The sequence below is a fragment of the Homo sapiens genome, chromosome 7 (genome assembly GCF_000001405.40).
Source record: "Homo sapiens chromosome 7, GRCh38.p14 Primary Assembly".
Classification (NCBI taxonomy): Eukaryota; Metazoa; Chordata; class Mammalia; order Primates; family Hominidae; genus Homo; species Homo sapiens.
In genome coordinates, this window is record NC_000007.14 from 74,499,675 (window position 1) to 74,526,348 (window position 26,674).

Below are 26,674 nucleotides of genomic sequence, written 5' to 3' on the forward strand. Positions count from 1 at the left end.
TGAATGAATGAATGCACACATGAATGAATGCATACACACAAAGGAATTAATGCACACACCAAGGGATGAATGAATGCATACACCAAGGAATGAATGAGTGTTCACACCAAGGAATGAGTGAGTGAATGAATGCACACGAAAGAAAGAATGAATGTGCACACCAAGTAATTAGTGAATGAATGAATGCACACAAAGGAATGAATGAGTGAATGTACACACCAAGGAATTAGTCAATGAATGCACACACACAGGAATGAGTGAATGAATACACACAAAGGAATGAATGTACACATCAAGGAATTAGTGAATGAATGCACACACAGAGGAATGAGTGAATGAACCTGCCACTTGTGGAGAGTGAAAAAAGCCTGAGAGATCCCCAGATGAGGGAGCCCCCATGTGTGCCCCTGCCGTTGAGAGGCCTGGACATGCTGGTGCATGGTGTAAGGGCTTGGGCTTGGGCTGAGCTGGCTCACAGGCGACCCATCAAGTGTCACAAATGACCTTGAACCGCTGCCACAAATGACCTTGAGCAGCACGCTTCCCCTCCCGAGCCTTAGCCTCCCCAGATGTAACATGGATTAGAAGAACCACCTCATGGTGCTTTTCTGAAAATTTGGTAGGCCTAACGTGGTGGCTCTCGCCTGTAATCCTAGCACTTTGGGAGGGAGGCCAAGGTGGGTGGATCGCTTGGGCTCGGGAGTTTGAGACCAGCCTGGGAAACATAGTGAGACCCTATCTGTTTTGTTAAAAAAAAAAAAAAAGAAAAAAAATTTGGTGGGGTGATGGGTGTGCCAGTTGGAGAGCTGTGACATTTGTTTTTTTGGTTCAACCCCAAGCCAGTGCAGACAAGTGACCCTCCCCAGCCAGCGGGCCAGGCCTCTCAGTGTCACCCTGGCTGAGGTTGTTCGTGTATGTGTGTGTGTGTGTGTCCCTTTCTTTACTGTCCTCATTCTTTGCATCACGTGTGTGGTCTTTTCTGTCTCATACACGCACACCCGTCGCATTTGCATGCTCTGACACACAGACACACATTGATGCTTCCTTTTTTAAATTTTTTATTTTTGGAGGCAGGGTCTTGCTCTGTCGCCCAGGCTGGAGTGCAACGGCATGATCACAGTTCTCTGTAGCCTCGAACTCCTGGGCTCAAGTGATCCTCCTGCCTCAGCCTCCTGAGTAGCTGGGACCACAGGTGTGGACCACCACACCTGGCTAATTTTTTTTATTTTTGTAGAGGTGGGGTCTTGCTATGTTGCCCAGGCTGGTACACTCCTGCTTCTTTATGTATGTATGTATTTATTCTCTTTTTAGAAAATTATTTCATTGAATCGTCCTTTAAGCACACACTTTTCTGAAGCTCTGGGGACACTTGGGGAGAAGAGGAGGGGAGGGTTCTAGCTGTCCTGTAGGGCCACATTGGTCCTGGGTGCAGGACAAGCCCAGGCAGGAGAAACGGACCCTGCTGAGGGGTCTCCTCTTTGCCTCTTCCCTGGGTCCCAGCTGGGTGGTCTCGCCTGTTCACTGCCGGGCAGGGTTGGGCAGTGCAGAGCCGAGCCCACCGCTGTGTCATCATTCCACGGGGGAAGGGGCTTGAAGGCTGCGTTGTGGGGTGATGGGAACCCGGATTTAGTTGGTATGACCCGAGCTCAGGTTTCAGCTTTGCGACATCCTTGTGGTGGGGTCTTCAGGTGGGAATTCCTCCTCTGTAAAATGAGAGCTTGTGAGAATTAAACTGGTCCCGGCATTTGGGAAACAGCCCTGTGACTCCTTCCGTCTCTTCCCTCCGGAGGGGGCGGTCCTTGAGCTCTACTGAGCCCATGCCAGCGAGAGTCGTCATGGCCGAGCCCCTGGGCCAGATTCCAAGTTCCATGCCACCTTGGCACTTACTTTTTTGGCTCCAGTCCTCTTTGGCTGTCCCCTCTGTGAAGGGCATCTAAGGTGGTGGATGGGGGAGGGGAGTTTGTTTGTTTGTTTGTTTTGGTTTTTTCTTTTTTCGAAAAGGAGTCTCACTCTGTCACCCACACTGGAGTGCAGTGGCGTGATCTCTGCTCACTGCAACCTCGACCTCCTGGGTTCGAGCGATTCTCCTGTCTCAGCCACCTGAGTAGCTGGGACTACAGGCACCTACCACAGTGCCTGGCTAATTTTTAAATTTTTAGTAGAGGTGGGGTTTCACCATATTGGCCAAGCTGGTCTTGAACTCTTGACCTCAAGTGATCCACCCACCTTAGCCTCCCAAAATGCTGGGATTACAGGTGTGAGCTACCGCGCCTGGCCTTTGTTGTTGTTTTGAGACAGGGTCTTGCTCTGTCTCCCAGGCTGCAGTACAGTGGCACAATCATAGCTCACTACAGCCTCAAACTCCTGGCTCAAGTGATCCTCCCGTCTCAGCCTCCCAAGTAGCTGGCGCCACAGGCATACACCCGGCTAATTTCTGTATTTTTTGTAGAGACAGGATTTTGCCATGTTTCCCAGGCTGGTCTTGAACTTCTGGCCTCAAGCCATCCTCCCACCTTGGCCTCCCAGAGTGCTGGAATTATAGGCGTGAGCCACCATGCCCGGCCAGAAAGGGGAGTTTATTTAAATGGGCCGAGCCAGGAGCTTTGTCTTAGCCTTGTTCTTCTGTCTACATGCCCTTTTCCCACCTCCCACTAGGCTGCACTTCACTGGGGTAAATCGGTCAGAACCAGCTAGTGGGAACAACCTGTAACACCTGTTTCCAGACATCCAGGCTTTGGGCTGCAGAATAGGCTCGCACCTGTTAGCTCACTCTCTGCTAGCCTCCTAACTGGCCCTGAGCGCCAGGTGCAGGGTGTTTGGGATTGGAAATCACAGCTGGATTTCTGTTAGTTCACTGTCACCCTGGCCCCAGGGCTGGCTAGAAAGTGGGCGCTCTGGGCCGGACTTCTATGGGGGTCCCCCAGCCTGGAGGCAGCCCTGCCTTGAGTCAGGGCAGCACTGATTCAGACGTGGCCACGAGTGCTTGGCTAATTTTTGGCTCAGGGTCCGGGCAGGCCTCCAGCTCTTGGCGGCCGGCAAATCTGCTGCTGTCTGGGCAAGGAGTCCCTGGCAAGACGGGGCAGGTGGCAGGCAGGCAGGGAAGCTGAGCTTCTTGGAGTCTGGAATAGGGAACATCCCTAGAAGATGACCCAGGCCCTGCACCTGGCTGGGTGTAAGAGTCCCCTGTGAACTTAAAAATACAGTGTCCAGGGCTGGGCGCGGTGGCTCACGCCTGTAATCCCAGCAGTCTGGGAGGCCGAGGCGGGCGGATCACCTGAGGTCAGGCGTTCGAGACCAGCCTGACCAACATGGTGAAACCCTGTCTCTACTAATAATACAAAAATTAGCCGGGTGTGGTGGTGCACGCTTGTAATCGCAGCTACTTGGGAGGCTAAGTCAGGAGAATCACTTGAACCTGGGAGGTGGAGGTTGCAATGAACTGAAATCATGCCACTGCACTCCAGTCTGGGCAATAGAGTGAGACTCCATCTCAAAAAAAAAAAAATACAGTGTCCAGGGCCCCGCTGCCCAGGGAGCGGTCACCTCTGATGAGGTAGGGCACAGGAGCCCGGGCACTGAACAGCAGGTGTTGGCAGCAGCTGAGCTACCAGCCGTCCTTGCTTCACAGGTGGGCGGAGCAAAATCGGGAGCTGGGTGATGGGACAGATGTGACAGTCGCTCTTCTACTATTCTCGGACTGTAACCTGGGATCTTCCCAGTGGACTTCCCTCCACCCATCCCAGCTCTGCCTTTTGGGGGCTTCATGTCTTTCTCATTATTATTATTACTTTAATATTTCAGCTTTTAGGCCGGGCTGTAATCCCAGCACTTTGGGAGGCCAAGGTGGGCAGATCACTTGAGGTCAGGAGTTCGAGACCAGTCTGGCCAACATGGGGAAACCCCGTCTCTACTAAAAATACAAACATTAGCCAGGCGTGGTGGTGGGCACCTGTAATCCCAGCTACGGGGGAGGCTGAGGCAGGAGAATCACTTGGACATGGGAGGCGGAGGCCGCAGTGAGCCGAGATCACACCACTGTACTCCAATCTGGGGGACAGTGAGACTGTCTCAAAAATAATAATAATTTTAACTTTTATTTTAGATTCTCAGGGTACATGTGCAGGTTTGTTACAAAGGTATATTGTACGATGCTGAGATTTGGGATACAAGTGATCTCGTCACCCAGGCAGTGAGCATAGCACCCAATAAGTCGTTTTTCAGCCCCTCCTTTTCCCCTCTCTCCCTGCTTTTGGAGGCCTCAGCGTCTGTCATTCCCATCTTTATGTCTGTGAGTACCCAACGTTTAGCTCCCCTTATAAGTGAGAACATTTGATATTTGGTTTTCTGTTTCTATGTTAATTTGCGTAGGATAATGATGTCCAGCTACTTCCATGTTGCCGCAAAGGACATGATTTTGTTCTTTTTTATGGCTGCATAATATTCCATGGTGTGCATGTACCACATTTTCTTTATCCATTCTACCGCTGATGGACACATGGGTTGATTCCATGTCTTTGCTATTGTGAATACTGCTGCTCTGAACAGATGCGTCTCTCACCTTATTAAGGGAAGTTGACTTTTGAACCCAAAGGATGGACATTTGGGATATTTCTCTTCCTTGCGAGTGTCTGCGTTTTGGGCTGCTGAGAGAGGCGTCTGGGCTCCTGTTCCCATTGCTCCCTGCGTTGCAGTGTGACCAACCATCCTAGGTGGCCTAGGACTGAGGGGTTTCCCAGGAGACGGAACTTTCTGTGTAAACCCAGGAATGTCGAGTTGGGCCCAGTTGGCTGTGTGTCAGCTCTGCGTGTGAGCAGCTGGTCTGTTCCCTGCATCCCTGTGAATGTGAGAAGCGTGGTCTTCCTACCGCATGGTGACAGCAAGGACACCAGCAAGGCTGGAGACAGACAGCCTTCTTCCCCGCTGTGCACTGGCTGAGGCCTGGAGCTAGTGCCTTTCTTGTCTCTAAGATAGAGTGATGCTGGAAGAAGGATAGTAGCTCATGCGGGCCAATGCTGCCATCAGAATTTTTACTTTTTTTTTTTTTTTTTTTTTTAATGGAGTGTTGCTCTGTTGCCCAGGCTGGAATGCAGTGGCGCCATCTCGGCTCACTGCAACCTCCACCGCCGGGGTTCCAGCGATTCTCCTGCCTCAGACTCCCAAGTAGCTGGGATTACAGGCGCCCGCCACCACGCCAGGCTAATTTTTGTATTTTTAGTAGAGACGGGGTTTCACCATGTTGTCCAGGCCGGTCTCAAACTCCTGACCTCAAGTGATCTGCCTGCTTCACCCTCTCAAAGCGCTGGGATTACAGACATGAGCCACTGCGCCTGGCCCTGCTATCAGAATTTTTATTTTTTATTTAAAAGACAGGGTCTTGCTGTGTCACCCAGGCTGGAGTGCAGTGTTGCCATCATAGCTCACTACAGCCTCGAGCTCCTTGTCTCAAGCAGTCCTCCCGCCTCGGCCTCCCAAAGTGCTGGGACTATAAGCATGAACCACCGCACCCGGCCTCTGCCTTCATTTTCTGTTTAGAACCATTCCCACTTTACAAATGAAAAATCTCGGGCTTTCAGGACTCACCCGAGGTGCTCCTAGCAGACGTGGGCCTGGGTCTCATCTTCCCCCGCTTCTCCTGCTGCATTCTTGCTCCAGGCACGTGGAACCTGCCTCTCCCTCCATCTGAGGCCCTTTGCAGGGAGTGGCTGTCTCTCTCCATGCTCCCCAAGTGCACCCACCTGGGCTGTGGCTCGGGACAGGGGGTCCTACAAGCCCGGATGACCGAGACAAGGAGCTGGGGATGGCCCACAGCCCAGCCCCTCTTCCCTCTCTGTGTCCCTCCCTCCTGGAGTCCCTGGTTCCTTCCTAAACGGATTAGAGCCTTTACCGGAAGGAGCCGGCCGCTGTCTGGGGCAGCCGGGGGGCCAGGGCTAGATGGCTGTCTGGTGCCTCCTGCTTTGCCCTGATTCGATTTGGGCCTCAGCAGCTGGGAGGCTGGCAGCCCTAAGGCCTTTCTGGGAATGGTTCAAGGGACGGGCTTGCAGGGGATGGCTTGGGGGAGGGGGACACCTTCCAGCCCCCAGGCAGGCAGACCTCTCAGCTGGATCTTTTATGAAGTCTGGTCGCATGCAAGACCCTCAAGCGGGCTTCCTGCCACGGAACATCCCCAGCCGTGGCCACTGGCCACCTCGTGGTTCATCAGCGGGTGTCATCCAAGGCCTGTGTCCCATCCATGGCCTGTCATCCCCTCCGCATCCCTTAATACAGCAGATTTCAAACTTCTATAAAATTGCAACCCAGAAGAAGAAATGTCTTTTATAAACATTTAGCAGCAAACTCAACATACATTTTGGCCAAACGCCCACCGGCCAGTTGTTTAAATCAATATTTATCCACAGCCAAAAAGCAGAGGAGAGCCAGAACTGAGGCCAGAGCCGAGCTCTGATGCATCTCTCATTTCTCGGGATGTTTCTGTCCCTGTGGTTGGACACCTCTGGCCTTGTGAAGTGTGATGCACTGTCACATCTCCTGTTCTGTGTCATTGGCCAATGATCATATATCATGACCTGCTGGAAGGCCTGTCTGTGGCTGGGACCACACGCCTTGGGCCTTATGCACACTGGGCACTGGTCGGGATCCTGGGGTGCAACAGTGGCAGGCAGACCTGGTTTCTGCCCTCAAAGAGCTTACAGATGGCAGGGGCACCCATGGCGGCAGAAGACACCCCAGGCCTGGTGCCCTTTGTGGTGCCAGCCCCATGGTCCTCCTGCCTGGGCCTTCCCTACCCCATTGGGTGCAGAAACTCCCTGTCTGCAGGTAGGAGACAGAGGGTAGGTTTTCAGGCTCCCTTGGGAACTGCAGCCCTGCTCTCTGCCATCAACACCCAGCAGGGGCCACACAGAGAGCACCGGGACTGAGCCCATAGAGGGGAACCGAGAGGCCCCTGCCTCTAGTCTCTGCCTTCTTTGCTTGGATTGGTGCAGGGACAGCTGCCTTGAGGGCAGGCCCTGGCACTGGGGCAGCCTGTGGGTGCCCCCTGGGTCAAGAAGGAGAGGGGCAGGGTAGAACCAGGAGCCAAAGGAGGCTGATCTTTGCATCTCATGGGTGCCCAGCTGGACACTGTCATACCCAGGAAGCCTGTGCCATGCCATGGGGACCCACAACTGGGGGCCCTGGACTTGAGGGGGAGGATGCAGCTCTGTCCCCCAGGAACCCCATTGCAACAGGACACAGTCCTGCCCTGGGGAGCCCCTGACCTGAGACAAAGCAGCCTCGGCCCTGCTGTATCTTTCCATACCCCTGATGCCAAGTCTCCTGGCTAGGAGGGAAACTGAGGCTGGAAGGCCTCGGCGGGGGTGGCATTGGCCTCGGGAGCATGTGGCTTGATGCAGAAATGTGACGGCAGAGCTCAGAGGCATGCGGAAGGGAGGGGAGGACATCACCGGCTCCTGACCCAGCTGGGCTTCAGGTTGGGGGTACAGGAGGTGGGCAAGCAGGTTGGACAATTAAAAGCTTCGATGAGGCTGGGTGAGTGGCTTATGCCTGTATTTCCAACACTTTGGGAGGCTGAGGTGGGCAGATCACCTGAGGCCAGGAGTTCAAGACCAGCCTGGCCAACATGGTGAAACCCCATCTCTACTAAAAATACAAAAATTAGCCAGACGTGTGGTGGCACCTGTAATCCCAGCTACCCGGGAGGCTGAGGCAGGAGAATCACTCGAACCCAGGAAGGGGAGGTTGCAGTGAGCCAAGATTGCACCACTGCACTATAGCCTGGGCAACAGAGTGAGACTCTGTCTCGAAATAAAATTAAATTTAAAATTTAAAAAAGCTTCAAGGACAACCAGCAGATGATGGCAGGACCAGGAAGGGTGCTTCAGGCAGCGGGAACTGAACCTGCACAGACTAGGGAAGCATGAACATCGGTACATCTGGGAGTGGCACAGCTTAGAGGGCCTGGAGCATGGAGTGTGAGGGGGAACTGGAGTGAGGGACAGGAGACCAGGTAACTAGAATACCAGGCTGAGGAGTTGAGAGCTAATATGGGCAGTAGGGAGCCATGGAGGGTGTGTGAGCGAGGGAGGGCTGTGGCCAGAATTGCACACGCCGGGAGAGGTGGCAGTTGGGGCCTGTCCAACAGACTGGTCCTGGTGCTGGGCTCAGCTTGGGTGTGCAGACTTAGGAGGGTGTGCCACAAGGTGTGAGTTATCCTGCCACCTGTGCCCAGGCCTGTGCAGGCTCTAATCCCATCACACATAAAGCCCTTGGGCCCAGGGAAGGTCAGCCCTGGATACAGAGGCGGTCTTGGGAGTCCGGGGGTCAGGTGGATTGGGGTGGGCAGCCACCATATGAGACAAGCCCCCTGCCTTGTGCCCACCACCACTGCCTCCTCCCTCCCCACAGGCGACCATGGCCTTGCTGGGTAAGCGCTGTGACGTCCCCACCAACGGCTGCGGACCCGACCGCTGGAACTCCGCGTTCACCCGCAAAGACGAGATCATCACCAGCCTCGTGTCTGCCTTAGACTCCATGGTGAGTGTCCCCACCCACCCAAGAGGAGGGGACAGGGTGAGCGTCCCCACCTGCCTTGTAGCTCAAGTCCTACCTCAGCTACTCGAAGGAGCTTTCACTGACCTGAACCTCAGTTTATCTGACTGCAGCTAGGGCCACGATGCCTGCATCAAGGGTGTGAGATGTGAGACTTCAGCGAGATCCAGTACATAAAAATCTAGCCCTGGGGCCGGGCACAGTGGCTCATGCCTGTAATCCTAGCACTTTGGGAGGCCGGGGTCGGTGGATCACTAGGTCAGTGGTTCGAGACTAGCCTGGCCAACATGGTGAAACCCCATCTCTACTAAAGATACAAAAAATTAGCTGGGCGTGGTGGCATGCGCCTGTAATCCCAGCTACTTGGGAGGCTGAGGCAGGAGAATTGCTTGAACCTGGGAGGTGGAGGTTGCAGTGAGCCGAGGTCGTGCCATTGTACTCCAGCCTGGGTGACAGGGCAAGACTCCGTCTTAAAAAAAAAAAAAAAAAAATCTAGCCCTGGAATAAACACTGGCTCTCCGCCCTCGTCCCCTTGTCCCTTCACCCCTCTTGCCATTCCCACTTTGTCCCTGGGATGAACCACATGCCTATCTCCTAGCAGGTGACCTGGGGGATAATGTGTGGGGAGCCATTCACTAGAAAGATGTAATCCCCAACGTTAAAGCAAGAGTTCTAACTGCATCTCGGGCAGGAAGAGAGAAACCGAGCTTTGTATAATACATCACTCCCCTGGCGCTATTGCCTACATACCTAGACCTATAACAATTTATCCCAAATGAGGACATCATAATACCATTTTCCTCTAGCCTTTTCCTGGGGGGAAGTTCTGTGATGGAAGTGTTAAAAAAAAAAATCTGGCCCAGCACGGTGGCTCACGCAAGTAATCCCAGCACTTTTAGGGGCCGAGGCGGGTGGATCATTTGGGGTCAGGAGTTCGAGACCAGCCTGGCCAACATGGCAAAATCCCATCTCTAGTAAAAATATAAAAATTAGCTGGGCCTGGTGGCACATGCCTGTAATCCCAGCTACTCGGGAGGCTGAGGCAGGAGAATCACTTGAACCCTGGAAGTGGAGGTTGCAGTGAGAAGAGATAGCACCACTGCACTCCCGCCTGGGCAACAGAGGGGGACTCCGTCTCAAAAAAAAATAAATAAAAATAAAAAAATTAGACTGGCATGGTGGCACATTCCTGTAATCCTGCCTACTCAGGAGGATGAGGCAGGAGAATTGCTTGAACCTGGGAGGCAGAGGTTGCAGCGAACCGAGATCGTGCCACTGCACTTCAGCCTGGGCAACAGAGGAGACTCTCTCAATTAAAAAAATTTTTTTAAATAAAAATAAAATTAAAAATCTGTCTAACATCAGTTAGCTGCGCTCCTGCATTTTAGGATGATGAAGCACAGAGAGGGTAGTACCTTGCCCAAAGTCACACAGCATGACCAGTTTTGTTTTGTTTTGTTTTGTTTTGTTTTTGAGACGGAGTTTCGCTCTGTCGCCAGGCTGGAGTGCAGTGGTGTGATCTCGACTCACTGCAACCTCCGCCTCCCAGGTTCAAGCAATTCTCCTGCCTCAGCCTCCCCAGTAGCTGGGACTACAGGCCCCCACCACCACACGTGGCCAGATAATTTTTGTACTTTTAGTAGAGACCGGGTTTCACCATGTTGGCCAGGATGGTCACAATCTCTTGACCTCGTGATCCGCCCACCTCAGCCTCTCAAAGTGCTGGGATTACAGGCGTGAGCCACTGCGCCTGGCCCAGCAAGACCAGTTTTTAGAGCGAACTTCTGGGTACAAAGTCTCCCCGAAAAATAAAGGACCTCCTTCAAGCTGTTCCTGCTGTAGGTGGCTCAAGGGCTGCTTAAGTGGTGTTTGGGGCAGCGGTGGGAGACACCCCTGGAAAAGGGGCTGGGTGCCACACTCTCTCCATGATGACCCCTCCCCTATGCAGAGTGACTTTCATGAGGAGGGGGCCCCAGGAGCTCAGCCCTGTGTCCCAAAGTACTGTGAGCTTGGCATTGATGGAGGTGTGGCTGATGTGGGCAGTGATGGGCGATGCCATGGCCACTAGTGACATGTGGCTATTTGCAATTTTTTTTTTTTTTTTTGGAGATAGGGTTTTGCTCTGTCACCCAGGCTGGAGTGCAATGGCGCGATCTTGGCTCACTGCAACCTCCGCCTCCTGGGCTCAAGTGATTCTCCTGCCTCAGCCTCTGGAGTAGCTGGGATTACAGGTGTGCGCCACCACACCTGGCTAATTTTTTTGTATTTTTAGTAGAGACGGGGTTTCACCATGTTGGCCAGGCTGGTCTCAAACTCCTGACCTCAGGTGATCCACCTGCCTCAGCCTCCCAAAGTGCTGGGATTACAGGTGTGAGCCACTGCCCCTGATTCATTTAAATTCGAATTCGTTAAAACGAAATAAACAACTCAGTTGTTCAGTTGCACCAGCCTCATTTTACGTGCTCAGTAGTCAGAAGTGGCTGGTGTCTATGGATTGGACAGTGCAGAGGTAGAATGTTTTCATAGTCATAGAAAGTTACACTGGGTTGGCCAGGCGCAATGGCTCACGCATATAATCCCAGCACCCTGAGAGGCTGAGTGGGGCAGATCACTTGAGGCCAGGAGTTTGAGACCAGCCTGGCCAACATGGTGAAACTCCATCTCTACTGAAAATACAAAAATTAGCCAGGCATGGTGATGCATGCCTGTGGTCCTAGCTATTCGGGAGGCCGAGGCAGGAGAATCGCCTGAGCCTGGGAGGCAGAGGTTACAGTGAGCCGAGGTCGTGCCACTGCACTCCAGCCTAGGTGACAGAGCAAGACTTTGTCTCAAAAAAAAAAAAAAAAAGTTCTACTTGGCAGCAGTGGTCTAGTGAGTGTTTCAGAGCCTCCTTGGAGGAGCACATGACCCTATAGTTATCCTAGCAGTGCGAACAAGACAGGCTCCCCCGTCCCTGGGCCTTTTAAGGGTTTCCTGAGGGACCCTATGGGTGACAATGATATTTGCTTAGCAGTAACTTAAGTCCAGCCTCCTCCAAATGCTAGGGTCTTTTGGTGACCTGTAGGGAGGGTGGGCTGAAGGGATGTGCCTTCGTCACCCGCCCCCAATCTCATCCTCTTCCCCACCAGCTCTGGGTGCCTTTAGGTGGGTGAGTTTTCTGCCATGGTCTCGGCGTCTTCAGCTGAGCGGTGACTGTGGGATGAAGCAGCTCTTTCAGCTGTGATGGATGAGAAACAGCTGGATTTATTTGTTTTATTTTTTGTTAATAGTCTACAGTGTTCCCGCGCAGAAAGGGAACAGCAAGCTTTTGTTTTCATCTTAGAAGAAAATGAATGCCCTGTGTTTTAATTTTCCAGTAGGGACCCTGGAGGACAGGCTTCCTGGCCCCACGCCGCGTGCACCTTCCTAACCAGAGCGACTCCAGGCTGGGGCTGGCACAATAGGCAAGATTATGGCCCAGAGAGGTTACCTGTCCCAGGCCACGCAGCACAGAACTGCGTTTGGAAGCCAGACTTTATAGCTGCCAGCACTACCTGACTCAGATGAAAACCAGCATTTATTAGACACAACTGCCTGCCACAGGCTTCACAGTCAGGGTTTTCCTGGTGGGGTAGGTCAGAGACCTGAGATGCTGGTGGTCTTGGTTGTAGGGACCCCCTACATTAAGGCCTCTGGGCTATGGGGCTGCAGACCTCGACTCTGGGGCCATGAGGATAGCCAGCTGCCTGTATACCCATATAGGGTGTCCCAGTTTAGAGATCTTTTTCCTCCAACCATTGAATCCCCATACCCAAGCCCAGTGGCACTGTGGAACTGGGCTGCTTGTCCCCAATTCTATAGACGTGGAAACTGGCCACGCAGAGTGGCTCACGCCTGTAATCCCAGCACTTTGGGAGGCTGAGACGGGCAGATCACCTGAGGTCAGGAGTTTGAGACCAGCCTGGCCAACATGGTGAAACCCCATCTCTACTTATAATACAAAAATTAGCAAGGCGTGGTGGCGGGCGCCTGTAGTCCCAGCTACTCGGGAGGCTGAGGCAGGAGAATCGCTTGAACCTGGGAGGCAGAGGTTGCAGTGAACCAAGATTGTGCCACTGCACTCCAGCCTGGGCGACAGAGTGAGACTGTGTCTCAAAAAACAAAACAAAACAGATGTGGAAACTGGAGCCCAGAGGAGGGACGTGACTTGCTCAAGTCCCACAGCAGAAGTGGCCGAGGTGGGATTGCAGCCCCAGTCTGTCCAGTCCCCGCCTGTCCTGCAGTTCTTCCCACCTCCTCCTCATCCAGGACTTGAGAGGGGCCAAGAAAACCCAGCACGGCATTGTCCCTGGGGCTGGGGCTAAGGGGGGCCTACCCCAAGGAGGAGGACCTTGGAGGGAGGAGCAGAGGACACTTGTCCTCCTCCACCCCCCATCGCCAATGCCTGCAGGGCCATTTCATTCAGTCCCACTACAGAATCTGAGACCAAGAACAGTAGAGGGGCCGTCTGTCCCTGGAGCTGCTGCTGGGGTCTCAGGCAGCTGGGAGCTCACATCCCACCCCCGAAGTGGATACTAGAGGTGTTCGGAGTATGGGGAGCCCTTCCGCTCACACAGCCTGCCCTTCCCACAGTGCTCAGCGCTGTCCAAACTGAACGCCGAGGTGGCCTGTGTCGCCGTGCACGATGAGAGCGCCTTTGTGGTGGGCACAGAGAAGGGGAGAATGTTCCTGAATGCCCGGAAGGAGCTACAGTCAGACTTCCTCAGGTTCTGCCGTGAGTACCCCAGGGCTCCGGAGGGCCGGGCCCGCCATTTCCCGAGGGCAGGCGCTCTAGCCCATCTCTGGGTCCCCAACCCTGTCTAGCCAGGGTGGCGGTGTGTGGGGAGTGAACCTAACAAGCTAGGTTGTCTGAGATTCCCGATGTGGTGTTATTGAGGCAGCCCCTGAGTTGATAGAGACTGGCTGGGTGAACCCCAGGGTAGGCCAGAGCCAGCCACTTCCATCTGCCTTTTCCAGATGGGGACACCAAGGCCAAGGCTGCTGCTCAGTTCTTCCTCTTAACTATGTATTCCTGAACACAAGGACCAAATGCACTTATGCCAACACAATTTTTTTTTTCTTTAAATGAGACAGAGTCTTGCCCTGTCACCCAGGCTGGAGTGCAGTGGCACAATTTTGGCTCACTGCAACCTCTGCCTCCCAGGTTCAAGTGATTCTCCTGCCTCAGCTTCCCGAGCAGCTGGGATTACAGGCACCTACCACCACGCCCAACTAATTTTGTATTTTTAGTAGAGACGGGGTTTCACCTTGTTGGCCAGGCTGGTCTCGAACTCCTGACCTCAGGTGACCCGCCCACCTCAGCCTCCCAAAGTGCTGGGATTACAGATGTGAGCCGCCATGCCTGGCCATGTTCCAATAAGATTTATTGAATGCCTGCTGTACATAGCATCTTTTCTGATGCTAACTCACCTACCCTGACATCAACCTGAGGGGGCAGGCACTGTCATGGCTATAGTCAGGGTTAACATCTTAGGCCAGGTGCAGTGGCTCATGTCTGTAGTCCTAGCACTTCGGGAGGCTGAAATGGGAGGATCACTTGAGCCCAGGAGTTGGAGACCAGGCTGGGCAACATAGCAAGGCCTCTGTCTCTACAAAAAATTTAAAAATTAACCAGGCTTGATGGTGTACACCTGTAGTCCCAGCTGCTTGAGAGGCTGAGGCAGGAGGATCACTTGAGCCTGGGAGTTCAAGACTACAGTGAGCTACGATGGCACCCCTGCACTCCAGCCTGGGTGACAGTGAGTCCCCATCTCAAAAGAACCATGGTATAGCATGAGGTTAAGAGAACGGGCCGCCTGGGTCCACAACTGCTGTGCCTCAACCCACTCATCTGTGAAAGGGGAGGACGGGTGGGTCTGAGGGTTAAACGAATTGGTACCTTGCAAGCACTTAGGGCAGTGTCTGGCACTTGGTTCACACTCAATAGACACCAGCTGTTGTTACTATTATTAGTATTCACCTCACACCCCTAAGATCAGCTGTTTCAGGGAAGGGCATCCCCCAGCGCTGGGCCTAGCATTACTGGGGTGCAGCCGCATCCCCAGCCAGCCCCCCACCCCCCTCAGCCCTCAGAGCCTAGACCTTCTCCAGGGCCAGGATGGGGGACTGGGCCGGGTAGAATGGACAGCAGCAGGTCGTGTGGCACCCCAGCCGCCCAGAGCCTGAGGCGGTGCACCTGCCTTCTAGAGCCACGCAGAGCCGCTATTTATAGCACCAGGAACTCGGCTGGTTTATTTCAAGCTCCGCAGATCCCAGAGGAGAATAGGCTCCAAGCTGGGAGGGGGCCGCAGGCCCCTCCTCTCATCTCCTTTCCAATGCAGCTTCTAGAACATTCCCCAAGGATCCACCAACACTCTCCGGTCCCCACCCTGGCCCAGCCTGGCATGAACCTGCTGTTTGCAACCCACGGCCTCCTTGGAGCAGGGGTTGGGGGGTGCCTCCCAACCCTCTGCCGGAGGGTTTTCTCTCCCTCCGGCAGAGCAGAAAACGGTGGCATAGATTGGTCAAGACAGTGTTCGTGTCAGAGCACAGAAAGGCATGGATGGGGCCGGGCATGGTAGCTCACACCTGTAATCCCAGCACTTTGGTCAGGAGTTCGAGACCAGCCTGGCCAACATGGTGAGACCCCATCTCTACTAAAAATACAAAAATTAGCTGGGTAAGGTGGCAGGCGCCTATAATCCCAGCTACTCGGGAGGCTGAGGCAGGAGAATCACTTGAACCCTGGAGGTGGAGGTTGTAGTGAGCCAAGCTTGTGCCACTGCACTCCAGCCTGGGCAACAGAGCGAGACTCTGTCTCAAAAAAAAAAAAAAAAAAAAAAATAGAAAGACACAGATGGAACATTCATCGAACCTCAGTTCTGAGCTGGAATAGCTGGCCTCCCGTGAACATTCACAGACTGAGGCTCAGAGAGAGAAGGGACTAACCCAAGGTCACACAGCAAATTAGAGGTGACCAGAGGTGAGGCCCAGCCCTGGGAACTCTGAGATGACCAGCCCTGGCCCTCAGTGGGGTGGTTGGAATAGGGCTTGCTCACTCATTAATTCTTCATTCATTCATTCACTTGTGTATCACATTGTGTGCCAGTCTCCGCAGCTCAGCACAGGGCAGCGACATCCCAGCTCGAAGGCCGGGTGGTGAGACGGGTGCTCACTGTGGCCTCGCGTGCTCTGTGTCCCACAGGAGGGCCCCCGTGGAAGGATCCGGAGGCAGAGCACCCCAAGAAGGTGCAGCGGGGCGAGGGTGGAGGCCGTAGCCTCCCTCGGTCCTCCCTGGAACATGGCTCAGATGTGTACCTTCTGCGGAAGATGGTAGAGGAGGTGTTTGATGTTCTTTATAGTAAGATCCTTCCTCATTCCATTTGGGGGCCCCAGGGAGGGTGGGAGCCTCGGTCCCCACCCAGCAGAGGGGGCCCCCTCCTGTCCCACTATGGGCCCTGGGCAAAGCCGGACCCCAAGGCATGGGGCTACTGGCTACCCCAGCCCTTCCTCATCTCTGCATTCCCAGACACAGAAGTTCTGCTCCAGCCGTTTTCCAAACCTCCACCCCTACTGTCCCTGCCCTGGCTCAAGTCACTGCCACCTCTCGCCTAGAAATAGCCCCAGGCTTGCCACGGTCTCCCTGCTTCCAGACCAGCTCTCTACACCTGCCCTGCAACCAAGGGTATCTTCTCAAAGCACAAGTCTGATCATTAATGAAGCTCTTCTCTCCACAGCCTTCGGGGGCTCCCCATCACCCTGAGCATGGCACAGGGGCCCACACACCCATCCTCATCCCCTCCACACCTTCTTCTCCCACTAGGTGACAGGGCCCTACTGACCTCTCTACAGAACCACTTCCAGTTCTCCAGCACTCGCTGGTGCATTTCACATGCCCTGGACTTCGCGCTGTTACATCTTTTGAGACTGCCTTTCCCCTCCTGTGTCTGGCAGACACCTGCGTGGCACTGAGGCTCTGCTCCTGGAAGCCCCCTCACAGTGGGTTTAGGCCCCTCTCTTGGCACCCACAGTGCCCTGTCCCCTCTCCAGCCCAAGAGCTCTCCAGAGTCAGGGGCTGTGTCTGCCCTTTCTAGCTGTCTCCAGCCTACAGTTCAGAGCCCAGCAACAGCAGGTGCTTGGAGAATGTTTGTTGAATGACTAAGTGAAGGCTGATTGCTCAGCCATGTCTTTCCTGCAGGAAGAGGAGACCTGGCCTCCCTTGGGAAGCGTCAGGTTGCAGAGGGCCTCAGGGCCCCAGTGGTGGTCTTCACACGCCCTGGGAAACATCGGGCAGGTCCCTTTGGTGCTCAGGGTCCCACCTCATTCATTTCTGATTTGGCTTTATCCCTTCTCCTACTGTAGCCTTTGGTTTTATGGAGCAAAGGTCTGTGAGGAAACTTCTGCTGTTCTTATGTCAGAAGGAGGGGTACCCAGAGGCCCTGGGTGGTCACACTGGCCACCCTGGGATGGGGGACTTGCCACGCATGGTTGGCTGTGCCTCTGTCGACACTTTTGCCAGCTGCAGGGCCCCGCGCCCCTGCCCGCCTTGCCCTGGCCCCCCTTGTCCACTTTGGGCAGAATTCAAGGAGGCTATGAGAGGATGGGCCTCTTTCTGGCTCAGGGTGGGGGCTGTAGCATGGAGGTGACAACAGATATCCCAGTGCCCAGTCCTCAGTCCCCAGCCTGCCTCCCCTCCTCTGTGCCCCCGAGCCCCCATCTTTGTTCCTGCGTCTTCTCAGTCTGTCTCTTTCTCCTCTCTCCTGTCTTTGTTGTTGTTGTTGTTGTTGTTGTTGTTGTTGTTGTTTTGAGATGAAGTTTCACTCTGTTGCCCAGGCTGGAGTGCAATGGCATGATCTCGGCTCATTACAACCTCCCCCTCCTGGGTTCAAGCAATTCTCCTGCCTCAGCCTCCTGAGTAGCTGGGATTACAGGCACCTGCCACCACACCTGGATAATTTTTATATTTTTAGTAGAGACGGGGTTTCACCATGTTGGCCAGGCTGGTCTCAAACTCCTGACCTCAAGTGATCCACCTGCCTCGGTAATCCCAAAGTGCTGGGATTACAGGCGTGAGCCACCACGCCCAGCCTCTCCCATCTTTTTCTCAATCCCCTATTTTTGCTCCCTCTCCACTTCCTCTTCTTCTTACTTTCTCTCCCCCCTCTCGGTCTCTCTCCCTTCCTCCCTACACCTTTTTTTTTTTTTTTTTTTTTTTGAGATGGATTCTCGTTCTGTTACCCAGGCTGGAGTGCAGCGGCTCACTGCAACCCACCTCCCGGGTTCAAGCGATTCTCCTGCCTCAGCCTCCCAAGTAGCTGGGATTACAGGCATGCACCACCACACCCAGCTAATTTTTGTATTTTTAGTAGAGACGGGGTTTCATCATGTTGGCCAGGCTGGTCTCGAACTCCTGGCCTCAAGTGATCCTCCCTCCTCAGCCTCCCAAAATGCTGGGATGACAGGCGTGAGCCACCACGCCCAGCCCTTATAGCTTTTTCCTTGCAGCCTGGCTCATGCAAGTCCCCACTTCTCCGTCTCTTCTGCCCTCTTTTCTCCTACCGGATTGTCTGCCTCTGCTCTGTCCTCTGGGCCCTTGAGTCCCCGATTTCCCCTCCAGCCAGGTGCCCAGAGTGGAGAGGGGCTTGGTCGGGGAGGGCAGCAGGGAACCTGCTTGGTGGGGGAGCCCCAGCCCCCCAGATGCAGACAATTGGGCCTTGTCCACACCACCCACCCCCAGCCTGCAGGCGGTTATTCTGCACAAAGTCTGCAGTTATGAGGGGTCCATGGGAACCCCGCACCAAGGGGAGCCACTCAGCACTGCCCCCACTCTGGGGCACAGCAGCCCCGACCCCAGCCTGGCTGCCCTCTCATACCAGGCCCCTCTCCTGGACTCTCCCCTACAGGCGAGGCCCTGGGAAGGGCCAGTGTGGTGCCACTGCCCTATGAGAGGCTGCTCAGGGAGCCAGGGCTGCTGGCCGTGCAGGGGCTGCCCGAAGGCCTGGCCTTCCGAAGGCCAGCCGAGTATGACCCCAAGGCCCTCATGGCCATCCTGGAACACAGCCACCGCATCCGCTTCAAGCTCAAGAGGTGAGTGAGGTAGCCGGCCCGGGGCTGGGCTGGGGCTGGGCCAGGGCCGGGTCAGGGCCGGGGGCTGGAGGCCACTTAGCCAGAGGGGAAGGGACTTGAGATGCCCGTGGGGGACCCTGGTGGTGAAAGCTCCCAGTCTGATGGTGGAGGTGAAGTGAAAGCGAAGTCATAGAACAGGATCTGAGCCAGGTCATTAAGCCTTGAAGTCTTCCCAGGGAAGTTGCATTGCAGAGAGACTTGAAGAGACATGACTTGGGACAAAATAGCACCAAAGTGGTCGGGTACAGTAGCTCATGCCTGTAATCTCAGCACTTTGGGAGGCTGAGGTGGGAGGATCACTTGAGGCCAGGAGTTCAAGACCAGCCTGGGCAACATACCAAGACCCTGTCTCTGCCAAAAAATAAAAATAAAAAAAATTACCCAGGTGTGGTGGTGCACACCTGTCATCTCAGCTGTTCAGGAGGCTGAGGCAGGAGGCTTGCTTGAGCCCAGGAGTTTGAGGATGCAGTGAGCTGTGATTGCGTCACTGCACTCCAGCATGGGCAACAGAGCAAGACCCCATCTCTTAAAAAAAAAATATGGCATTTTAGGTGTCAGAAACGGGAGAACCATGTCCTGTGCTTGCTCAGGTTGTAAATCTGGGGTTAATTAGGGATCCAGGGGAGATTAGGTTGTTGAGGCTGGTCTGAGGCAGTACCAGTTGTCAGGAGAGCCAAGAAGGCAGCCTGAGGGCTTAAGGTTGAACCCATCTCTGCTAAGTGCCCCAGGCAATGCAGAGGCAGGAAGGGGAGGGGTGCAGCAGGAGACAGGAGGCAATCAACCGCACCTGGCGGGATCTGAACAGTGGATTGGAGCAGAGGGGCAGGGCCCAGGTCCTCCGGTGGCCTAGCTCTGTGGCCCTGGGCACACCATTCCCACCTCCGAGCCTGCATCCCCACTTGTGAAGTGGAAGAGCAGCTCCTGTCCTGCCCTCCTCATGGGGCTGTTATGTTCTGCAGAGGGCAGGGATGCGGGGTTTTCGGGGGAAGAGCTGCAATGTGTGAAACAGATGTACAAAGCTGTCCATGTGTCCTCTCCTTTACTCAGGCCACTTGAGGATGGCGGGCGGGACTCGAAGGCCCTGGTGGAGCTGAACGGTGTCTCCCTGATTCCCAAGGGGTCACGGGACTGTGGCCTGCATGGCCAGGCCCCCAAGGTGCCACCCCAGGACCTGCCCCCAACCGCCACCTCCTCCTCCATGGCCAGCTTCCTGTACAGCACGGCGCTCCCCAACCACGCCATCCGAGAGCTCAAGCAGGAAGCACCTTCCTGCCCCCTTGCCCCCAGCGACCTGGGCCTGAGTCGGCCCATGCCAGAGCCCAAGGCCACCGGTGCCCAAGACTTCTCCGACTGTTGTGGTAACATTGCTGCTGGGATCTCCAAGTCTAGGGGGTGGGACAGAGGTCACTCATGCAGGGGACAGCCTCCCAGGGCAGGTCAGGATGCCTGGGCCCTCTTAGGTTGGAAGGAGCCATGTCTGGGCATGGGAGTGGGACTGGACAGATGGTGTCCTGGCTGAGACCCCCTTGGACCTTGGGTCTCTGCTCAGCCATCTGTGAATGATGTCCTTGGCCTTGGACTAAGAGGACGCCTGCGAGGACTCCCTGGGTCCCAGCTACTCGGGAGGCTGAGGCAGGAGGATCACCTGAGCCCAGGAGTTTGAGGCTGCATTGAGCTATGATTGCACACCTCTGCACTCCAGCCTGGGTGACAGCACAGCTCTGTCTCAAAAAAAAAAAAAAAAAAAAAAAAAAAAAAGCACCAGCGATATTTCAGGTGTCAAAGGTGGGAGATCCACATCACGTGCTATAAAGGAAGTAAGCATACTAGTCATCCTCATGCATTCCATGAGGACCCATTCCAACTGAATGAGCACCCACTGCATACCCAGCCTGATTAAGGGCACTGGGGGAAGTAGGTCCTGGAAGTAGGTCCTGGGGTGAACAGGACAAAAGGAACAACTGCAGGTGAGGAGCACCTGGATTCATATCCTGGCTCCTCTACTTAGTGGCTAGGCATCCTGGGGCAAATCTCTACTCTCTGAGCCTCAGTTTCTTCCTCTATAAAATGGGGATGCTAGTGGTACCTGCTTCCCAGAAGTGTTATCATGATTAAATGACAGATCGGTGGCAGTAGCATCTCCTGAGAGAGGGTTAGAAATGCATATTCTCAGGCACCACTGCAGTCTTGCTGAATCTGAAGCTTTGGGGATGGGACCCGGTAGTCTTTTTGGATAACTCTGCCAAGTGGTTCCAATGTGCTCAAGTTTGAGAGTTGCTGAATTAAAGCGCTGGGTCTTGCCAGGCATACCTGTAATTCCAGCTCTTTGGGAGGCTGAGGTGGAAGGATTGCTTGAGCCCAGGAGTTCGAGACCAGCCTGGGTAACATAGCAAGATCCTATCTCTACCAAAAAAAAAAAAAAAAAAAAAGCGTTTGGGTCTAATGCTTGGCCTGTAGTAGGTGCTTGTAAGTTATATATACTATTATTATTATTATTATTATTATTATTATTATTATTATTATTATAAGGGGGAAAAAAGCCCAAATATGTGGGCTGACCAGGGCTTCGAACTTATACATGTAAAACAAGTGTTCTTACCTGGAAAAGGTAACCTCCGACATCCCTTTCTTGTTAACCTGGCTTTCGGCTAGCAGATTCTGGTGCAGAATGTCTTAGACCTCTGGTCAGGGGCCTTGCCTTGAGTTTGTGATCACAGGAATCAGTTATTGGATGTCCCTGGCAGATGAGGCTGTTACCCCAGAGCCAGGGCCTGTGCACTGGGGCCAGATCTGGGGAACCCTCTTGGGTCCCACCTGGAACCTTCTTCCTTCTCTCCCTTGTCCAGGACAGAAGCCCACTGGGCCTGGTGGGCCTCTCATCCAGAACGTCCATGCCTCCAAGCGCATTCTCTTCTCCATCGTCCATGACAAGTCAGGTAGGACAGCGCCCACGAAGCACCCCGGCCTGAGTGGGAATCTGAGGTTGGAGGTGGTGCTTATTGAAATGGAAGTGTATCTCCTGGGTCTTTGTGAAAGAAAGGAGGAACAGCTCTGCTCAAGGGGCTGCAAGTAAACTGGGGTGTAATAGTTATCTATTGCTGTGTGATAAACTACCCCAAACTAGGCATGGTGTCTCATGCCTGTAATCCCAGCACTTTGGGAGGCTGAGGCAGGAGGGTTGCTTGAAACCAGGAGTTTGAGACCAGCCTGGGCAATGTAGCGAAATGCTGTCTCTACAAAAAATAAGAAAAATTAGTGGATGTGGTGGTGCCTACCCGTAGTCCCAGCTACTTGGGAGACTGTGGTGGGAGGATCACTTGAGCCCAGGAGTTGGAGGCTGCAGTGAGCTGTGATCGCACCACTGCACTCCAGCCCGGGCAACAGTTAGACCCTATCTCTAAAAAAAGTTGTAACAAAAAATAAAATAAATAACCCCAAAATGGAGCTTAAAACATCAAGTGTTTATTACCTCACAGTTTCTGGGGGTTGGGAATTCGGGACTGGCCGAGTTGGGCAGTGCTCGGTCAGGGTCTTTCATGAGGATGCAGTCAAAATGTTGGCTGGGGCTGCTGTCATCCAAGAGCTCAACTGGGGCGGGAGGAGACGCTTCTGAGCTCATTCACACGGCTGTTCGTAGGAGGCCTCAGTCCCCCACCATGTGGGCTAGCCTTGACGGGGCTGCTTGAGCATCCTCACAACATGGCCACTGGTTTCCTCCAGAGTTATTGATCCAAAAGAGAGGAACGAGGAAGCCACGTGGCTTTTATGACCCATCCTTAGAAATTGCTGTCATATTCTATCTGTTAGAAGCCAGAAACATGATCCAGCCTTCCCTCTGTGGGAGAGGAATTAAACTCCACCTTTTAAAGGCAGTGATATATTTAAAAAAAAAAAAAAGTGGACAGATTTTTAAAGTATCACACAGAAGGCCTGAGTGTAGGAAAGTTTGGGATTCAGTTATACCAAGAAGGAATGCAGTAGGACTTGCCAGCAGTTTTGCTTTGAGGGCCTCAGCCTCACCTCCAGGAAAAGGTTCTGTAAGAAAACCCAGTCCTAGGCCAGGTGCGGTGACTCACACCTGTAATCCCAGTGCTTTGGGAGGCTAAGGTGGGAGGATGGCTTGAGGCCAGAAGTTCTAGACCAGCCTGGGCAACTTAGTGAGACCCCATCTCTACAAAATTTTAAGAAAGAAAGAAAACCCAGTCCCCTGGGATCAGAATGGAGGACCCTCCCCCCCAACAACAACCCAACCTGTCACTGCCCCAAACAAGGTCCAGCCCTGGCAGGGAGGAGATGTGAATGTCCAGATGGAACAGTATCATGACAGGCCCATGGGCCAGGGACACAAGCTGGGATAGAATCTCACTGGGTTATCACAAGCAAGATACTCAGTTTCTTTGAGCCTCAGTTTTCCTATCTGCAAAATGGGACTAATATCTCTGTTTAAAACTTGTCATAAGGAATTAAATAGGATATTATTATATATATAAAGTACTTAGCACAGATAAGCACTTAACAAGTTAAAGTTGTTACTTTTACTGATTATAAATGAACCAATGATCACTTGTTATTATTCAATCAAGACAGAGGTTTTGAGAGAGAGACCAGCAGAGCTGAGAGTTTGGGGGAAGCCAACAAGGCCAGTGCTGAGTGAGACCTCAGATGTAGGAGGTACAAGGGTTAGATTCTCAAGATCAAGACTCAGCCCTTAGCCAGACATGGTGGTAGGCACCTGTAGTCGCAGCCACTCAGGAGGCTGAAATGGGAGGATCGTTTGAGTCCAAGAGTTGGAGGCTGCTGTGAGCTATGATCACACCACAGCACTCCAGCCTGGGCAACAGAGTGAGACCCTGTCTGTAAAAAAGAAAAAAGGAAAAAACACAGCCAGGAGTGTTGGCTCATACCTGTCATCCCAGCTGCCTGGGGGGCCGAGGCAGAGGGATCACGTGAGCCCAGGAGTTCAAGGCTACAGTGAGCTATGATTGCACCACTGCAGTCCAGCCTGGGCAACAGAGTGAGACCCTGTCTCTATTTTTTTAAAAAAATTTAAATTAAAAAATAAAATACTCGACCTCAGGCCGGACTTGGTGGCTCACACCTGTAATCCCAGCACTTTGGGAGGCCAAGGCGGGTGGATCACCTGAGGTCAGGAGTTCGACACCAGCCTGGCCAACATGGTGAAACCCCATCTCTACTAAAAATACAAAAATAAGCCAGGTGTGGTGGCAGGTGCCCTGTAATCCCAGCTACTTGGGAGGCTGAGGCAGGAGAATCGCTTGAACCTGGGAGGCAGAGGTTGCAGTGAGCTGAGACCACGCCACTGCACTCCAGCCTGGGTGACAGAGTGAGTCACCATCTAAAGGAAAAAAAAAAACATAAGACTCGACCTCTTTTTCTGCTGAAGGGACTGCTCTTCCAGCCTCCTGTATGTCTGGGGCAGGATGGGCTCGGGATGGACAGGCTGAGCCTGTTCTGACACCACACCCGTGGGAGAGGCCAGAGACAAATGTTAGGGCAGGAACGGGCAGACGGGGGACCATCAGAGCACCCTGAATTCGTGTATGGTCCGAGGTGGGAGAGGGTGGAAGGACTGGGGGCTGGGGCCGGCCTCGGGGGCTCTGGGGGTGAAAGCCCGGTGGTCATGGCCGGTGGAGGGCGTGTGACCGTCCCGTGGGGCCCTGCTCACTTGTGCCTCCTGTGTTTTGATAGAGAAGTGGGACGCCTTCATAAAGGAAACCGAGGACATCAACACGCTCCGGGAGTGTGTGCAGATCCTGTTTAACAGCAGATATGGTGAGTGGGCGGCGCGGCCCGCCGTGTGGCCCCAGCAGCCGTGTTGAGCATCTCATTACGTGGCAATCACTCGTGTTCCCCAACACGGCAGCGGGAGCCATATGCTGGCTCCCGCGCGCCGGCACCGCTAATGTCATCCGTCGCGGGCTCCTCCTGTCTGGGTAGGGGGTGGTTGTGTCAATATTTCCCTTCCAGATTCTTCAGGGGGCGGAACTGATGGCAAAGCCCCAGACCTGGGCTCAGTGGCGGGGAGCGGGACAGGTTGGGGGCAGAGATTACCCATCTGGGGGCCGGGCGCAGTGGCTCATGCCTGTCATCCCAGCACTTTGGGAGGCCACGGTGGGAGGATCACCTGAGGCCGGGAGTTCAAGACCAGCCTGACCAACACAGTGAGACCTCCCATCTCTACAAAAACAAATTTTTTAACTAGGCTGGGTGCAGTGGCTCATGCCTGTAATCCCAGCACTTTGGGAGGCAGAGGCAGGCGGATCACCTGAGGTCAGGAGTTCAAGGCCAGCCTGGCCAACATGCCAGAACCCTGTCTCTACTAAAAATACAAAAATTAACTGGGTGTGGTAATACACGCCTGTAATCCCAGTTACTCAGATCCTGAGGCACCAGAATCACTGGAACCTAGGAGGTGCAGGTTGCAGTGAGTCGAGATCGTGGCATTGCACTTCAGCCTGGTGACACAGTGAGACTCTGTCTCAAAAAATATAAATAAATACAAATTAAAAATTAAAAAATTAACCACACACCTGTGGTCTTAGCTACTTGCAGGCTGAGGTGGGAGGATTGCTTGAGTCCAGAAGGTTGAGGCTACAGTGAGCTACGATTGTACCCCTGCACTCCAGCCTGGGTGACAGAGCGAGACCCTATCTCTACAAAAAAACAAACAAAACAGATTGCCCATCAGGGGAACTATCCATAAGGCCCAGAAAAATCTCTGTTGGCCTCATGTGCAAGTCCCCCACAGTAACACACCATTTCCCACCTCCCAGCTTTACCTGTGCTGTGCCCTCTGTCTGGCACAGTCTTTTCACATTTTAGGGACAAATTCCTAATTGTTCTTTGAGACTCGTCTTGGGAGTCACCTCCTCTAGGAAGCCTTTGGGTCCCCAGCCTGGGCCAGGTAGGCCTGGGTACCCTGATGGTTCCCTCTCTGTGACACATTGGGAACTTGACGCCCCCTGCCTGCCGCTGTCTCCCTGAGGGCCAGGACTGCACCCAACCCCTCTCTTTGTCCCTAGCACCCAGGACAGAGTCAGGCTCATAGCAGATGTCAGCCCACCGCACTCTGGAAAGAAAACACAAGTGGTAGGCGCTGTGGCTCATGCCTGTCATCCCAGCACTTTGGGAGGCCGAGGCAGGTGAATCACTTGAGCTCGAGAGTTCGAGACCAGCCTGGCCAACATGGTGAAACCCCGTCTCTACAAAAATACAAAAATTAACTGGGCGTGGCATGGTGGCATGCACCTGTAATCTTAGCTACTTTGGGAGGCTGAGGCAGAAGAATCACTTGAACCCGGGAGGCAGAGGTTGCAGTGGGCCGAGATCACGCCACTGCACTCCAGCCTGGGTGACAGAGTGAGACTTTCTCTCAAAAAAAGAAAAGAAAATCATTAAGGAAAGAATTTAAAAAGAAAAAAAAAAGAAGGGAGGATAATTCCAAGGAAGAAACAGTCTCAATAGGCTGGGAAGTCAGGGGTGGCTTCATGGACGAGGTGTCTTGTGACCACGTCTGGGGCAGCCTCTGCGTGTGGGCTGGACCTTCCACATTGACATGGGGCTGAACAAGACTCTGGAGGCCTTAGTGAGGAGCCTGGGATAGCCAGCTACCTTTGATGTGGCCACCCTGGCCCAGCCACGCCTCCTCACTCCTCAGAGCTGCAAAGGGCTGTCTGCACCTGCCCCTGAGTCTCTCCCCGCCCCAGGCAGGTGTGAGCCAGGCGGAGGTTGGGGGAGGGGAACCAGGGAGGAGCCGGCTCTGCCTGCCTTGGGAGGGTTCTGCCCAGGCCAGTGTTCTGGCCTGTCCCACGCTCTGGACTTTCCAAAATGCCAAGCCTTTTCCAAATGTCAGTTCCTGAGTCACATCCAAAGAGTGTTGGGTGTGGAGTGGTCAAGATCTTGTTCCCCATAAAGCCGGAGCTCCCTCTGGGGAGCTGCGTGGGGGAGAAGGCAGCTGCCCAGTACT

General features: G+C 53.9%; 1 protein-coding gene across 20 annotated transcripts in view, besides 1 other annotated feature; it reads left to right on the plus strand.

Moving 5' to 3' along the window:
- The window catches only part of GTF2IRD1 (GTF2I repeat domain containing 1), a 148,700-nt gene that overhangs the window by 45,769 nt on the left and 76,257 nt on the right, over nt 1-26,674 (plus strand). For 13 of the 20 annotated variants that reach the window (NM_016328.3, NM_005685.4, XM_011516713.2 and 10 more), the window contains exons 2-8: nt 8,401-8,529; nt 13,156-13,297; nt 15,767-15,922; nt 18,465-18,648; nt 19,735-20,045; nt 21,534-21,623; nt 24,397-24,480. In NM_016328.3, the coding sequence (NP_057412.1) occupies nt 8,407-8,529; nt 13,156-13,297; nt 15,767-15,922; nt 18,465-18,648; nt 19,735-20,045; nt 21,534-21,623; nt 24,397-24,480 (1,090 nt within the window). In that variant the 5' untranslated portion in view covers nt 8,401-8,406. Of the gene's footprint in view, nt 1-8,400; nt 8,530-13,155; nt 13,298-15,670; nt 15,923-18,464; nt 18,649-19,734; nt 20,046-21,533; nt 21,624-24,396; nt 24,481-26,674 lie in introns of all 20 variants that reach the window. The other 7 variants (XM_047421058.1, NM_001199207.2, XM_047421064.1 and 4 more) reach the window with 1 other exon arrangement.
- Nucleotides 5,308-5,808: an enhancer, noted in NCBI's record as "H3K4me1 hESC enhancer chr7:73919312-73919812 (GRCh37/hg19 assembly coordinates)". NCBI's record gives its function as "activates a minimal SCP1, AML or CMV promoter by ChIP-STARR-seq in naive H9 embryonic stem cells {active_cell/tissue: H9 hESC(naive)}" and the evidence as "EXISTENCE:reporter gene assay evidence [ECO:0000049][PMID:30033119]".